Raw genomic sequence first — 13,966 nt, 5'->3', positions numbered from 1 at the left:
TTTTATTTAACTACCCTTCATTATATAGAAGACTTGTAAATTAAAGCAATTAAAATGTCAATACTGCCCACTCCCCCACCCCGAAATCACATCCACTTTAGCACCTACCAAAGTGGGTAAGGAAAGTGAGAAACAAAATATGAAACACTAGAGTTTCTCTTGTACCATACAATGAAGAAAATGTTATATCAACTGTTCTTTCAGGCCCTTACAAGACATTGGCTGTAATGTATGTCCCCTTTTTCACCCCATAAACTCAAGGAGAAAAAAAGCTCTACAAATTGTCTTCTGTTCCCACCTGAATTTTAATTCTTGTACACTAAATAATGATCATGAATTCAAGTTGCATATGTCAAAAAGCGACTCCATAAATAACTTTACATTTTTTTTGCTTTAGTGTTAGAATCTACGTATGAAAATGTATTAATGTGCCTCTGCCGCATTTATTATGACTGGTAGGTGATGAACCTGTCAGTTTATATGCACGTGAAGAAAAAGGGAAAGAAGTTTCTTTGTATTTCATGGCTAGGTCAGTGCTTAGAGGTTAGGATCCTTCTTTCTGTGAATTCCAAAGAGATATTTTGTTTTGTAGGATTCTGCCATTTAGCTGGTCTGCCCACATGTTTACCTTCCCTGGTAATCTAAAAGGGTAAAGGGGAAATATAGATCTTACATACCCGTTTAATTTTAATTATAAAGGAGAACAGGTTAAAAGACTTGAAATGCCAATTAGGAGCCGAATTAGTATTTAGTTTCCTCACTCTCCATTTATTGCTAAAATTTCTTTAATATCTTACTCTATTATACAACAAATATCTAGAGATCATCAATTTGAATAATCCCTGAATATTCAAATTAAAAATATAACTAATATTTTGTATATAAATGTGCCTATATAATAGAGATTCATTCTTCTTTTAACTCAAAAATTTCCATAACTTTGCTGTGATCAAATATTTTCATTCTTATTGTAATGAAGCTATTTTATATGTTTTATACAACAAATAAGACTATCTATAAAATCAGGTGTAGTATGTATCCAGTAATACAGCTGGAGTTAGAAGTGTCAGTTATTTTTAGATTGAATGGGACTTCAGAGACTTTAAATCTAAAACCCTCATCTTAGAGCTGAGTGAATCAAACCCCAAAAGGTTAAATGGCTTGCCCATGGTCTTAGGAAATTGATGCATTAGAATCAAATTCTTCTGACTCTTGCCTCAGATATTTCCTATAAAACACGCCTCTGTGGGATTTTATAGAATTAAATTATATAGACATATATAGACAAACCAAAAAAGTAATTTACCATGTAGCCATAAGGTAATTGTAAATACCATACTTACATGTTTAAAAATAATAATGATGCTCAGACCAAAGAGTCTAAGAAAATCTAATTACCCAACATAGATTCTGTGTTCAAGTTGTTTCACAAATATTTATGGGAAAGTGCTTCCCATTTACTCATAGTGTTAATTACAGCCACCCCTTGGTAACCATGAGATTGGTTCCAAGATCCCCTGCGAATAACAAAATGCGTGGATACTCAAATCCTTTACATAAAATAGTGTAGTATTTGCATATAACCTAAGCACATCCTCCTGTATACTTTAAATTATCTCTAGATTACTTATAATACCTAATACAGTGTAAATGCTACGTAAATAGTTGTTATATGATTTAGGAAATAATGAAATAACTCTTTACATGTTCAGTACAGACGCAGCCATTCATTTTTTAAAAATATGTCCCATCCCTGGTTGGTTGAATCCACAGATGTGGAACCCATGAATGCCGAAGGCCGACTGTACTTACTTCCTTGTACCTTTCAAATATTCATTACACTATCTGGGGTGATCTTCACTGGTACCATCTTAATGCATGACATAATGAGATTATCAGGTTAGCTAGCTCTAACTATATATAGCACAGAAGGAGGGAAGGCTTCTACACTAGAGGCTCCTGGTGAGCTGTGAGATCCACCATTTGAATTCTGCCTACCAAATACAGGAAGCAATACTTAAGAGTTTGGGCCACCAAATAAAAGCCAGACCCACATGGTCTGCCTTCAATTTACAATCAGTAACAAAAAATATAGTGAGGAACACACTGGCATTCTTCAGCAAAAGAGTGAAGGAGGATGCCTATCAAAACCTTTAGGTTGGTGAAGCAATCTCAGATCAGGATGGCAATAATATTTACAATTTGCCAGCCCAGGCGCACTGGCTCACACCTGTAATCCCAGCACTTTGGGAGGCCAAGGCAGGTGGATCACGAGGTCAGGAGATCGAGACCATCTTGTCTAATACAGTGAAACCCCATCTCCACTAAAAATACAAAAAAAAAAAAAAAAAATAGCCAGGCGTGGTGGCAGGTGCCTGTAGTCCCAGCTACTCGGGAGGCTGAGGCAGGAGAATGGCATGAACCTGGGAAGCGGAACTTGCAGTGAGCCAAGATGGCACCACTGCACTCCAGCCTGGGTGACAGAGTGAGACTCTGTCTCAAAAAAAAAATATATATATATATATATATATATATATTTACAACTTGCCTAGGGACAGTTCTCATTGCTAAGTGATGATGGCACATTCTGAGCTGCCACTTCTCTATATCATGGGCCTCCATTATTTAGCTAAGCGATAAGGGTGGAAGAGAGGTACCCTGGGACCTAGTTTATAACTTCTTTTTGTAGACCCATCCATCCTTATAGGAAACCATAGCAAGCCAGTTCTGACTGCCATTGTCCTCTGGGCCTGAAAGGGTGAAAGAGACCAGTGAAGGCCAGAAACAGCTATCCTTGGTGGACATCCAGAACCAAAACAGATCTCAGCTTTCCAAAGAGAATAATTATGCTGGTGTTGACCATACTGTTAATTTAAATTCTCCCCCATACAAAGCAATTCTGATATATCAACAGAAGTTAAACCTCCTTATGATTAGAAAAGGACACATTTTTCTCAATAGTGCCTAATAATGGTTTTGTGCCTAAATCATCAGGATGCCTTGCTTTCCTTCTTTTGACACCCCTTTAAGAAATATAAGATGGGCTTAATTTTTCTACTTACTTTCATTCACTTTAGTATGTAATTATAGAGTTTTTCAGTTTCAGCAGCTTCTATGTATCAGGTAATCCTCCATATACTGTCAATCTAAAGATAAATAGAATACACTAGCCCATGGGAATGTACCTGCCAGATGAGCTGCAACTCTTCATTGCACTGACTGCAATGCAGTGAATGAACGACCTCATAAGGCAGGCTGCACTCTTACAAGATAAATGTCAGTGATGGGTTCATTCTAAGTGAGAATACAATTAGAAACACTTGCTACTAATAGTGTGAACAGACTCTTCTGTTCCAGGATGTCCTTTTAACACATTTGAATTCCTTAGGGGAAAAATCCCTTTTTGAATGTTTTAATCTTTGATGTGTCTGGGTAACCTTCGACAGATATATTGACTTAATTTTCTTTTGCACTGATAACATCTTCAATCATCTATCAATGTTTGTGTCTACTAAATGCTGAACAGAAGTTAAAAACCTAGAAAAAGGACTCTTAGAAAAATAAAAGTCATGGTTCAGAAAATTTCTGTTATCTATGCTCTCAATTTTAGCTGAAACTTGAAATTAGCATCTTCATACATTGATGAAAGACCCACATTTTGGTGCTATTCTTTGACTGACTTGCCACTGTAGGTGAAGAAGTATATCCTTCACTCAAGCTGCAGAGTTATTTCTGAAATGATATTATTAAGTACTGTTGGAGATAGGGTGTAGTTGAAAAATCCTTAAGTGTTTAATTAGTATTCAAAATGCCCAGTCCACTTTATTTGGCAACTGGACGATTAGTTTAATGATTTAGTGACAGCCAAGTAAAAGGAATATATGTATATGTATTCCTTGAAGCATTGCTAAACCTCTAAAATATCAAACATGGGTTTATGTATAATTACTGGTGTGGGAAAGCAAATATTAAACATAAATAGTTTAAGCCAATAAAAAATTTCTCTGGAAAGAATAAACAATAAGTAATTGTTTGGGGGCAGGATTGGAAAGAAAGGGCACAGGACTTGCTTAAGTGTTCATAAATTGTGGTTAAGACATAAACAAAATTATCTCTATGCCCAGATTATGTAATTTATTGGGAGTGTGCATGCTTCTCTGTTCAGCAATGCTGATAACAACACTAATAGTTTAATTACAACTTGCTGCTTAAGGAGATAAACAAGGCTGTTTGCTTTTAAAACCAGGGGTTACAATTACTCTTAAATGCGGGAGAAAGGCACATCTGTGAGTGGATCTTACTTCGTTAGGGAAGCAACCAGAAACCAGCTGGAAATAAACAAGCCCCAGGAGTGAGCAGTTGGCGCAAAATTAGAGCATAAACGCCCGATTTGAGCAGCGGAGCAGTAGGCGTGATGCGTAGTAAATAGGCAGCAAATGTAGGTGGAGAGGGATGAAAAAGTTTTTGGTAGCCTGATCTTATGCATTTTCTTCGGGATTCCATCACAGGAGGGAAAGAGTACCCATCCCTCCACTGTCCAACTTACAGTCACTTCTCTGTCTCGCTTCAGCACCACCAAGGGAGGACAGCTCCCCTGACTGCAGTACAGACCAGGCTGCTAATGCCCTTCCTCCTTTAACAATATCCTCTCTGCATTTCTCTCTTACTGGTGTCTTTCTTGACACTTTACATTAGGAATATTTTAAGGGACATATAGAAGGGACTGAGTGCTTGTCTGGCTTATTTATTTCCAGATGAAACATAGATAAGTCCTGTCTGAGCCAATCTTTAAATTGGACTCCAGAGCAATTTAACCAAAATAAAAGATTGCAAGTCACTAGGTTTAATCTGGTGACAAAGTAATTAATTGAGTAGCAGCTGAAACTTGAAACTCTTGTTTAGCACTTTATTTTATTGTTTTGTGATAAAAGTACTAGTAGAAGGTAAACAACATTTACTAACTGCTGCTTTGGCTCTGTTCCTCCTGGGCTAAGCAAAGGGGTCAATAGACTAATTTCCAATATCACTTGGTTGGGAAAACAATCTTGCTCCTAAAAGAAACTATTATCGGTCCTTTGTGAGACCCCTCACAACCATACGCTGAATCTGAAACATAGAAGTAGGGGATTAACAATTCCAAAGTGGGAACCATGGACTACTACAGCATGCCATAGAAAATGCCAAAGCTTTCTAAATAAACTTGTCTTCAGCTCCAAAGTCAGAGGCAAACATTTAAGAAGTGACAAGATATACATGATTAAAACCACAAATCATCAAGACAGGAAAATTATATTCCAAGGCAGTTGGCCACTCTGGCACATTCAGTTACCATTCTTCCAGCCATAAGGGTATGGTTGCTTAGTCAGTGCATCTTGTTTTTCTATGCAGTTTTCTCTTTTGTCGAAACTTCTCAACAGGGCATAAATACCCATCATCTGAAGGTTCTCTTTGCTCTAACACATGCACCATGCACGCGCACGCACGCGCACACACACACACACACATTTTGTTTGATTTAGTCCCATTTCCAAGAGTTTAGTTTCCTAAAGCAAAACCTACCATCTGCTTTATAACTTATTTTGAAAGGCAGTCTTCAGGAAAATGCCCTCACTTTTATTATAGTTGCTAGAATAATAAGGGACCTTGGACAGGAAGAGAAAACAAACTAGGATGGAAGCTTAGGAGTCATTCAGAAAAGGCAGAGCTATGAAGTTAGTGGTGAACAACTTCTTCCCAGTGATAGTGACCACACACGAGTAAGGCACTCTAGAGTCGAGTTAGGAGCAGCAGCAGCAGAGGGAACAGTAGATGCTGGACTTTACTCATTGAGTAACCTTCAGTGGACTCAACTGAGGCATTTTTTGACTCTGAATCCCTCAGTCCTCCTTCTGTTGCTTTCCTTCCCCCTCCCTCCTCCCTTCCTTCCCCCCTTCCTTCCTTCCCTCCTTCTTTCCTTCCTTCCTTCCCTCCTTCCTTCTTTTCTTCCCTAGCGCCCCACTGCCTTCCCTCGTTTCCTTCCTTTCCTCCCTATCTTCCCTTCTCATTTCTTCTCTCCTTCATGTACCTCAGTTACCCTTTTCACTTAATTCGATCTGGGCCACTTTGGGCACCAGTTCCAGGGACAGCATCAAGTCACCTAACGTGCATTCTCCAGACCATGCTATTATGACCAGCACGGTAGCTTCCCAGCTGCTTGGTGCAAGGAAAAGGTTCCGTTCCAGGCGGCCAGCCCCGCCCCCTCTCCCCACTCCAACACCGCAGCGGCGGCGTCAACCCGTCAAAGCCAACAGAGTCTGAATGTCACCAACAAGTTCCACCCCGTAGTAGCCGCGCCAGCCAACCTCGCCCGGGGAGCCTCGCCAGACCCCGCGCCCGCAGCCTGCGCATGGGCGCGCGGCCCGGGCTCCGGGTTATTCCCGGGATCACTGTGGTCACTGACAGCACTTCCTCCTCCCCGTGCCGGGGAAGCCCGCGTGGGACTCGGGCGGATGTGGGGCTGCACGCGCCGCCCTCCCCCACCCCGTAGCTCGCACACACGCCCTCTGCGCACCGGAGACACAAAGAGCGCGAGTGCTGAGCGCCCGACTGCGGGGGGCGGCGGGGAGGACGCCCGGGAGGGGCGGGGGCTCAACAGCCGGGGAGGGAGGGAGCAGGGCGGGGGCGGGGGCGCGGCGCCAGGGGCGTTCTTACCTGCCCCCAGGTTAAAGGAGATCCTGGCCTCTGCGAGGTACGGCGTGTCGCTCTTGGAGCGCACTCTCCGGATGGGCCGCCGGTCTATATCATCCTCCGAGGATGCCGCCATTAATGTGGGAGGCAGGAGCAGGGTCGCCCGGCGAGCTGAGAGGGAGAAGGAGACGGAGGGAGAGGGAGAGAGGCGGAAGGGGGAGGAGGGGAGAGGAAGAGGCTCGCGCACGGGGGAGGGGGAGGGGAAGGGGGAGGGGAGAGGAAGGGAAGGGGTGGGGAGGGAGTGGGAAAGAGAGGGAAAAAGGAAAAAAAAGGGAGAGAGAAAGAAAGAGAGCAAAGGAGAGAAAGGGGTGAAGGGAGAGAAAGAAAATCCGTTAAGGATCTGTGGACTGGAGCAGAGATCAGGCTATCCCTGGCTGGCGCCCGGGGCTCCCCCAGACTCCTCTCCCAGCCACAGGGCCGAGGGGCCAGTGCTTTTGGCTGACACCCCGCCTCCCGCCTGCAGCCCCAGTTTCCAGCCCTTGGCACAGATAGGCTCTTGCGAAAGGGACGACTCCAACGCAGAGATGCCCAGTCAGCACTGTGCCCTCTCCCGCCAAACGCGCTTACGCTGCCCAAGTGCACACTACGGTCTCCTTCACCCACAGGCTGCTCTATGTGAGCGTGCCGCGCCCGCGGTCCCAGCTCCGTGCGTGGAGTTACTACTTCTGGGGTGCAAGCCCTGGTCCCGCTGGTCATGGAGGAGGGCATTGTGCCCAGCCCAGCCCTCTCTACTCCCTTACTGCCAGGCAAGAGCTCAAACAGAAAGAGAACTAGATCTGAAATCTTCAGAAGTTTTCTTATCTGCCCCCTTACAACTTAGAGGTGGGGAGTGGAGGAAAAATGTCTACAAGTTTGGGAGCCGTTTGGTAGTAAGGTTTCTAGAGTTGGTATTTTGAATGTAAAGTAGGTATATGCATGCAGAATTGAGTGGCCTTTTCTAACCACTAACTTCTGGGTTGTGTTATCTCTACATAAGTACTCATTCATTTTAACCGAATTCCTCTTTATTTGGTCACAAATAATAGTGTTTGGGTTGGACTTGTAGCCTCTACAACCTGGCAACATTGTTTCTGCAGGAGAGGTGATCAAGGGGACTTTACATTTCTTTGAACGCCTGCACTGCCCCCTGCAACCCTACCTGTAACACAGCAGAAGAACCTAGAAAGGTTTCTGGGGTGTGAATAAGAATGGTTTGATGCTCCTGCTGAACCTATTGATGGGCTAAACCCTTTAATGTTTGTCTTTCTGCAGCTGTAGGAACTTAGTCTTTTTGTGGCCTGAGTTTACCACTCTTCTATCTAATAAGTGCCCACCTGGAGTACAGATTAAATCTTACCTTGCTTCCCTCCCTGCTACAAAGGGCATCTCAGTGTGGACTCAGGGGAAGTGCTGATCTGACTGTGCAAGCCCCCCCTCTCCACTTCAGCGGTCAGTTCTAACTCTCCACTTGCCTTTTCTCATTCTAGAATCTTCTTCTCTCTTCATTGGTCTTTTACCTTCACACGTGCATAGTAACTACTCATTTTAGGAAAAATATACCTGCCTTTGGCCTTGCTGCTTCCTCTATCTGTACCATAATGTTTCCTTCCCATTCTGTTTAATCTTCCCGTGGAACTCCTGGCCATCAGTCTCTGTTTTTACACTCCAATCTCGTCCTTTCATCCCCGTCATTGGTTTCTGTTATTTTAAAAGCCTTCTATCCATGTCCTTCTAATAGTCAAAACTAATTCTTTCTTAGCTTCTCTGAAATACTTAGTAATCCATCATTCTTGAAATAATCCCATCCTTTGCTAGGCTATCTCCCTAATCTGATTTCTAATTGTTGGCCAGTTCTCTGTGTTAATCTGAAACTGCTTATGCTGGCATTAAGAGCCCTCTACAACCTGTCTTTCCCATCCTCATCTCCCATTATTTACCTCCAGTCTGCTTGGAGCCACCCCAACAAATCTGGCTCATTTTTGTATCTGCACCTTTGCTTAAGTGACGCACCACAAATTTCTTAACTATAAACATTTCCTGTTCTCTCTCAGAAATGTGAAGTGACTAGCTCATTAGTTTATGGCATGAACCCAGCATATAGTAATTAAATTTTCAGCAAGTTTTGTTTGTTTTGAGACTGGAGTGCAATGGCATGACCTTAACTCACTACAGTCCTGACTTCCTTGGGCTCAAGCAATCCTCCCACCCAAGCCTCCTGAGTAGCTAGGATTACAGGCATGCACCACCATGCCCAACTAATTTTTTTTTCTTTTTTGTAGAGATGCGGTCTCAGTATGTTGTCCAGGCTGATCTCAGATCCTTGGCCTCAAAGGATCCTCCTGTCTGGGTCTCTCAAACTGCTGGGAATACAAGCATGAGCCACCACAGCTGACGAACAGCTATTTTTGAATAAAGTAAAGGAAGAGAGGGAGGGAGAGAAGAAGGAAGAAGAAAAAAAAGAAAAGAAGTGAAGGAGGGTTGTGAGTACTCATAACTAATGAGTGGCTGAACTGGGGACCAAATCCATGTATGCCTGATTTCAAATCCTATGCCCTTAACTAGTATTTGGATTTGCTAAGTATATATATTTGACTGATTAGCCACCTTTCAGATTCACTGTTCTATGACATATGCCTCATTATTATTTCCCGTTTATCACTGTTAAACATAGTTTTAAAGTGAAGGCCTCCTCTTCCAAGAGGCGCAGCGGAGTCCTATATGGCTCATCAAATGAATTATGAAAGTTAATACTTTTAAAGGACTAACAGGCTGTAAACCAATCTATTGATTACAACTTTCGGGTTCAGGTTCTTAAGGAAGTGCAAAATGTAAGGAAATAAACAATTCTAAATACTGTATGAATGGTGCCTCCTGTGAATTAATGCAATCTATTTGATTGTTCAGAATTTGGAATTCCCCATTCCTTTCTATTCTCATTCATCAGCCATGTCTCTGGAAAAATGATAACGTCATCTGGAGGAATATCTACACTTAGCTCTGCCATTTCAGAGAAGTACATCTTTGAATTCCTGTTTCTTATTCATTTAACATTTTAGAGGATTAGGAACTTAATATTGCTACCACTTTAGCTTTATCCTTCTTCAAAGGAGTTTAAATGCACTTTTGTATTATTTCATTATAGGCTATTTTATTATTGAAATAATTCCAGATAGCTAAACTTTTGACAAAAATGGGCATAGAAATACTACATTTATCTCTGTGTTATTGAATTCTTTTTGAGACAGGCTCTCACTCTGTCACCCAGGTTGGAGTGCAGTGATGCAGTCTCGACTCACTGCAGCCTCCACCTCCCCAGGCTCAAGCAATCCTTCCACCTCAACCTCCTAAGTAGCTGGGACCACAGCTACATGCCTCCACCAAGCCTGGCTAATTTTTATATTTTTTGTAGAGCTAGAGTTTCGCTATGTTGACGTAGCTGGTCTCAAACTCCTGGTTTCAAGCAATCCGCCCAATTCAGCCTCCCAAAGTGTTGGCATTACAGGCCTGAGCCATTGTGTCCAGCCTTGAATTCTTTTATCACATTTTTATTTCTAATTGTTATCTTCCATTTCTTGACTTCTGTGATTTACTTTCTTTGTCTTTCATCTAATTTTTTCTATTCTCTTTTTACTTTGCCTTTCTTTTCTCACACCCTTCCTTAGTCTTCGTAACAGTTCCACACAGTCAGTCCCTTTTCATGTATCCCCTGTTACCCTATACAAAGGACTCATTTTAAGGGCTTGTCCCAATATTTCCACATTCTTTAGTCTCTGGGACTCCTTTCATATTCATGACCTCTTTTCATAAAACATCTGGCTGCATGACATCAGTGGAAGAGCGCTAGGGGTAGGCATCAAGATGGTGGGTGCCACTGCCAGTAGTACTACTACCCCACCCAAGTGACACTGGGCAAGTCACTCTACCAGCATGGGTCCCATTCACCTCCACTATAAAAATGCAAGGGTCAGATATCATGATCTTAAAGGCGCTGCCTAACTCCAATACTCTAGTGTTATTTGTAGCTATTCTTGTATCTCTGCTTTCCATAAATATCTGTGGTGTATTTTGTCTCTTAATCTAAGAAAATACATTGGTCCTTTGTAATGAATTATATTTAGAAAACCACATGGCATCCATACTTCTACCCAGGTGATTTCCTATTTTTTAAGTCTATTTTATATAACTCTGCATCCTTTAGAATCTATTTTTCCCCCTCATGCTGTTTCCATCATGTGACAACACCCACATGATTGTTTATATGTGTGAATATGTGGATGTAGGCATCTGTACAGAAGCATTGAATTCAACTGTGACCTCAATGACTTCTAAATGTAGTTTTTATGCACCCTCCCCACCCCACTGCCACCCATGATTGCGTCTTTCTAAATATGACTCCTGACTTGGGAAGAAGGCATTTTCTCTTTTCCTTTTCCTAAAACCAGTCAACATTTTAACACTGTAGACTCTTAAATGTGTGTTATATCCAGAACTACAGCCAAAGAAAAAGAAGCAGCCCAACAGAGAGCTCAGGAAAATTACACTTCATACATCCAACTGCTATGGAAGAGGATGGAGGTGAGAAGCGGAGGGAGAAAGAAGGATGTGATATTCCATCCCCATTAAGAAAATTTTTCAAGTAAGTAAACCTTACCCTTTAAAAATATTACTCAAAATATGTTTCTAGGACACTCCTACATCAGAATCACTTGCGATACTTGTTAAAATGTCTATTTTTCAGGCCCCCAATCTGAACCTACTGAATCAGAATTTGAGGAGATGAGACCTGTATACCTAGATTTTCAAAAGACTCTCAACTCTATCCACTCTCATCACTTCTATTTAACATTATACTGGAGGTCCTGGCCAGGGAAGTAAGGCAAGTAAAAAAAAATTCCAGAGATATAATGATTGGAAGGCAAGAATAAAATTGTTGTTAGTCAAATATGTTATGATTTTATACCTATGGAATTCATAAGAATCCACAGACTGTTAGAAATAAGTAATTTTCAGAATGTCACTGGATACAATATCAGCATAAAACATCATTTTTTTGCTGCTCTGCCTATGGAATAGCTATTCTTTTATTCCTTTGGATTCTTAATAAACTTGCTTTAACTTTACTCTATGGATTTGCCTCAAATTCTTTCTTGGGTGAAATCCAAGAACCCTCTCTTGGGGACTGGATTGGGACCCCTTTCTGATAACATCTTCCTTACGAAACATGAAGGGATGATATTGAGGAGACTCCAGACCCAAAGGAAATAGATTGCAGCACTGACTGGCCGATTTTGGAGTCAAGGAAACTTTTCTTTTTATTGACAGCTTTTAACAATTGAGTAAAGTGTACTCCTGTGAACAAAATTTGGAGCACATTTCTTTCTCTCTTCCTGATTTCTCCAAAATTTGGAAACTATTTGTGAATATTCTTAACTTATGGCAATATACTTGTTTGCATAAGTGCAATGAGAATCTGCTTTCTTTTGCAACAGGACACAATTGGAGAAACTGGTTATTTTGCCAAGGCTTTGATGGGAATGGCGTGGTTCCCTTTAAGGAAGCAAATTTGACTTATAGAGCCAATAAAAGCCCCTTGGGAAAACTGGCCTCATACCTTGTCTACACAGTACTTGTACAGGGCTCCTGACCTATGGTAAGTAAAGAATAACATTTTCTTTCAAAGAACATATTTATTTCTGCCTTCATTTCGTGATGTACCCAGTAGTCATTCAGGAGCAGGTTGTTCAGTTTCCATGTAGTTGAGCGGTTTTGAGTGAGTTTCTTAATCCTGAGTTCTAGTTTGATTGCACTGTGGTCTGAGAGACAGTTTGTTATAATTTCTGTTCTTTTACATTTGCTGAGGAGTGCTTTACTTCCAACTATGTGGTCAATTTTGGAATAAGTGCGATGTGGTGCTGAGAAGAATGTATATTCTGTTGATTTGGGGTGGAGAGTTCTGTAGATGTCTATTAGGTCCACTTGGTGCAGAGCTGAGTTCAATTCCTGGATATCCTTGTTAACTTTCTGTCTCGTTGATCTGTCTAATGTTGACAGTGGAGTGTTAAAGTCTCCCATTATTATTGTGTGGTAGTCTAAGTCTCTGTAGGTCTCTAAGGACTTGCTTTATGAATCTGGGTGCTCCCATATTGGGTGCATATATATTTAAGATAGTTAGCTCTTCTTGTTGCATTGATCCCTAAGAATAACACTTTCTGACAGGCCCAGCAGCCCCAGGTTATCTAGGGACCTCAAGAGGAGAGGAATCATATAGATATTTAATGGTACAAAGCCATGGCTGGACTTGGCTTTAGAAAACTCTTATCTGAGTTTCTTTATGGAATAAAGTTCCATCAAAGCCAATTTAAAAGCCTATGTGAAAGGTAATTATTCTTGCTGCACTTTATACAAATAATCAGGGCAAGTATAAGACTAAGGTTTACTTTTGCAAACAAATTGGTTCTATTATGATTTGTCTTTAGCAAAAGTGGGAGACTGGAGAGAGAAAAATTATGTTTCAGGAACTGTGGTTCACCTGTTATTAGATTCTAGTGTCATCAGTTGTTTTTACGTTTGTTTTTTTTTTTTTTTTCCTGCAATTTAGACTAACCCTGCTTATTCTTGTGAACTAACAAGTAATCTCTGGGTGCTGCTCAGAAGAAACAAAAACGAAAGGGAATGGGTAATGCAACAATCTGGATTAATACTCTAAATTCTGGGCACATATTGGAATCAGCTAGTGACTCCATATCAGGTTGGTTCCAACAATTGCCCAGTTCCTGGAAAGCCTTCTTATTTAGTTTACTTGGAATAATTTTCCTTTACTGTTGTGGAATATATTTGCTGTTGTACTCTTTGTGTAGGAATGCCAGATAAGCTTACTGAATATTTTCTTAAATTGAACACTTATTATTCTTCCAGATATCATCTTTTGCCAGATCTGAGAGTTATGAATGACCCTTGCCATATGTATGCTTTGTAACTGAGCTCCTCTCTACCCTGAGTACCAGAGACCCTAATAATTAGGAATATCATCACCCCTATTCAACCAGAAGCAGTTATGGAAGCTGGATCTTTGTCTTTCTATAACCCTTAGGATTAAGGGTTCTCTTGTAAAAAGGGAGGAGGAAATGTCAGAGGCATTTGAACCAGAACAAATCCATCTTGAATAAGGGCTGGGTAAAATAAGGCTGAGACCTACCAGGCTGCATTCCCAGAAAGTTAGGCATTCTAAGTCACAGGAAGAGATATGAGGCTGGCACAAGAT

General features: G+C 41.3%; 1 protein-coding gene and 2 long non-coding RNA genes across 16 annotated transcripts in view, besides 2 other annotated features; 2 read left to right on the top strand and 1 right to left on the bottom strand.

Moving 5' to 3' along the window:
- PHACTR1 (phosphatase and actin regulator 1) overlaps window positions 1–13,966 on the bottom strand; it is a 571,071-nt gene that overhangs the window by 531,357 nt on the left and 25,748 nt on the right. For all 13 annotated transcript variants that reach the window (XM_005248934.4, NM_030948.6, XM_047418373.1 and 10 more), the window contains one exon: window positions 6,691–6,837. In XM_005248934.4, the coding sequence (XP_005248991.1) occupies window positions 6,691–6,837 (147 nt within the window). The remainder of the gene's footprint in view (window positions 1–6,690; window positions 6,838–13,966) is intronic.
- Window positions 6,215–6,716: an enhancer, noted in NCBI's record as "H3K4me1 hESC enhancer chr6:12749997-12750498 (GRCh37/hg19 assembly coordinates)". NCBI's record gives its function as "activates a minimal SCP1, AML or CMV promoter by ChIP-STARR-seq in naive H9 embryonic stem cells {active_cell/tissue: H9 hESC(naive)}" and the evidence as "EXISTENCE:reporter gene assay evidence [ECO:0000049][PMID:30033119]".
- Window positions 6,842–7,526: an enhancer, noted in NCBI's record as "H3K4me1 hESC enhancer chr6:12749187-12749871 (GRCh37/hg19 assembly coordinates)". NCBI's record gives its function as "activates a minimal SCP1, AML or CMV promoter by ChIP-STARR-seq in primed H9 embryonic stem cells {active_cell/tissue: H9 hESC(primed)}" and the evidence as "EXISTENCE:reporter gene assay evidence [ECO:0000049][PMID:30033119]".
- On the top strand, window positions 9,023–11,576 carry LOC105374935 (uncharacterized). The gene is made up of 3 exons (XR_001743982.1): window positions 9,023–9,185; window positions 11,193–11,341; window positions 11,444–11,576. It is a non-coding gene; the product is annotated as an uncharacterized LOC105374935 (long non-coding RNA).
- The window catches only part of LOC107984015 (uncharacterized), a 49,066-nt gene continuing 47,298 nt past the window's right edge, over window positions 12,199–13,966 (top strand). For both annotated transcript variants that reach the window (XR_001743980.1, XR_001743981.1), the window contains exon 1: window positions 12,199–12,355. This is a non-coding gene — a long non-coding RNA (uncharacterized LOC107984015). The remainder of the gene's footprint in view (window positions 12,356–13,966) is intronic.

Source organism: Homo sapiens, chromosome 6 (genome assembly GCF_000001405.40).
Source record: "Homo sapiens chromosome 6, GRCh38.p14 Primary Assembly".
Classification (NCBI taxonomy): domain Eukaryota; kingdom Metazoa; phylum Chordata; class Mammalia; order Primates; family Hominidae; genus Homo; species Homo sapiens.
The sequence above is the reverse complement of the archived record's forward strand: the minus strand, read 5'-3'. Positions and strand labels throughout refer to the sequence as shown.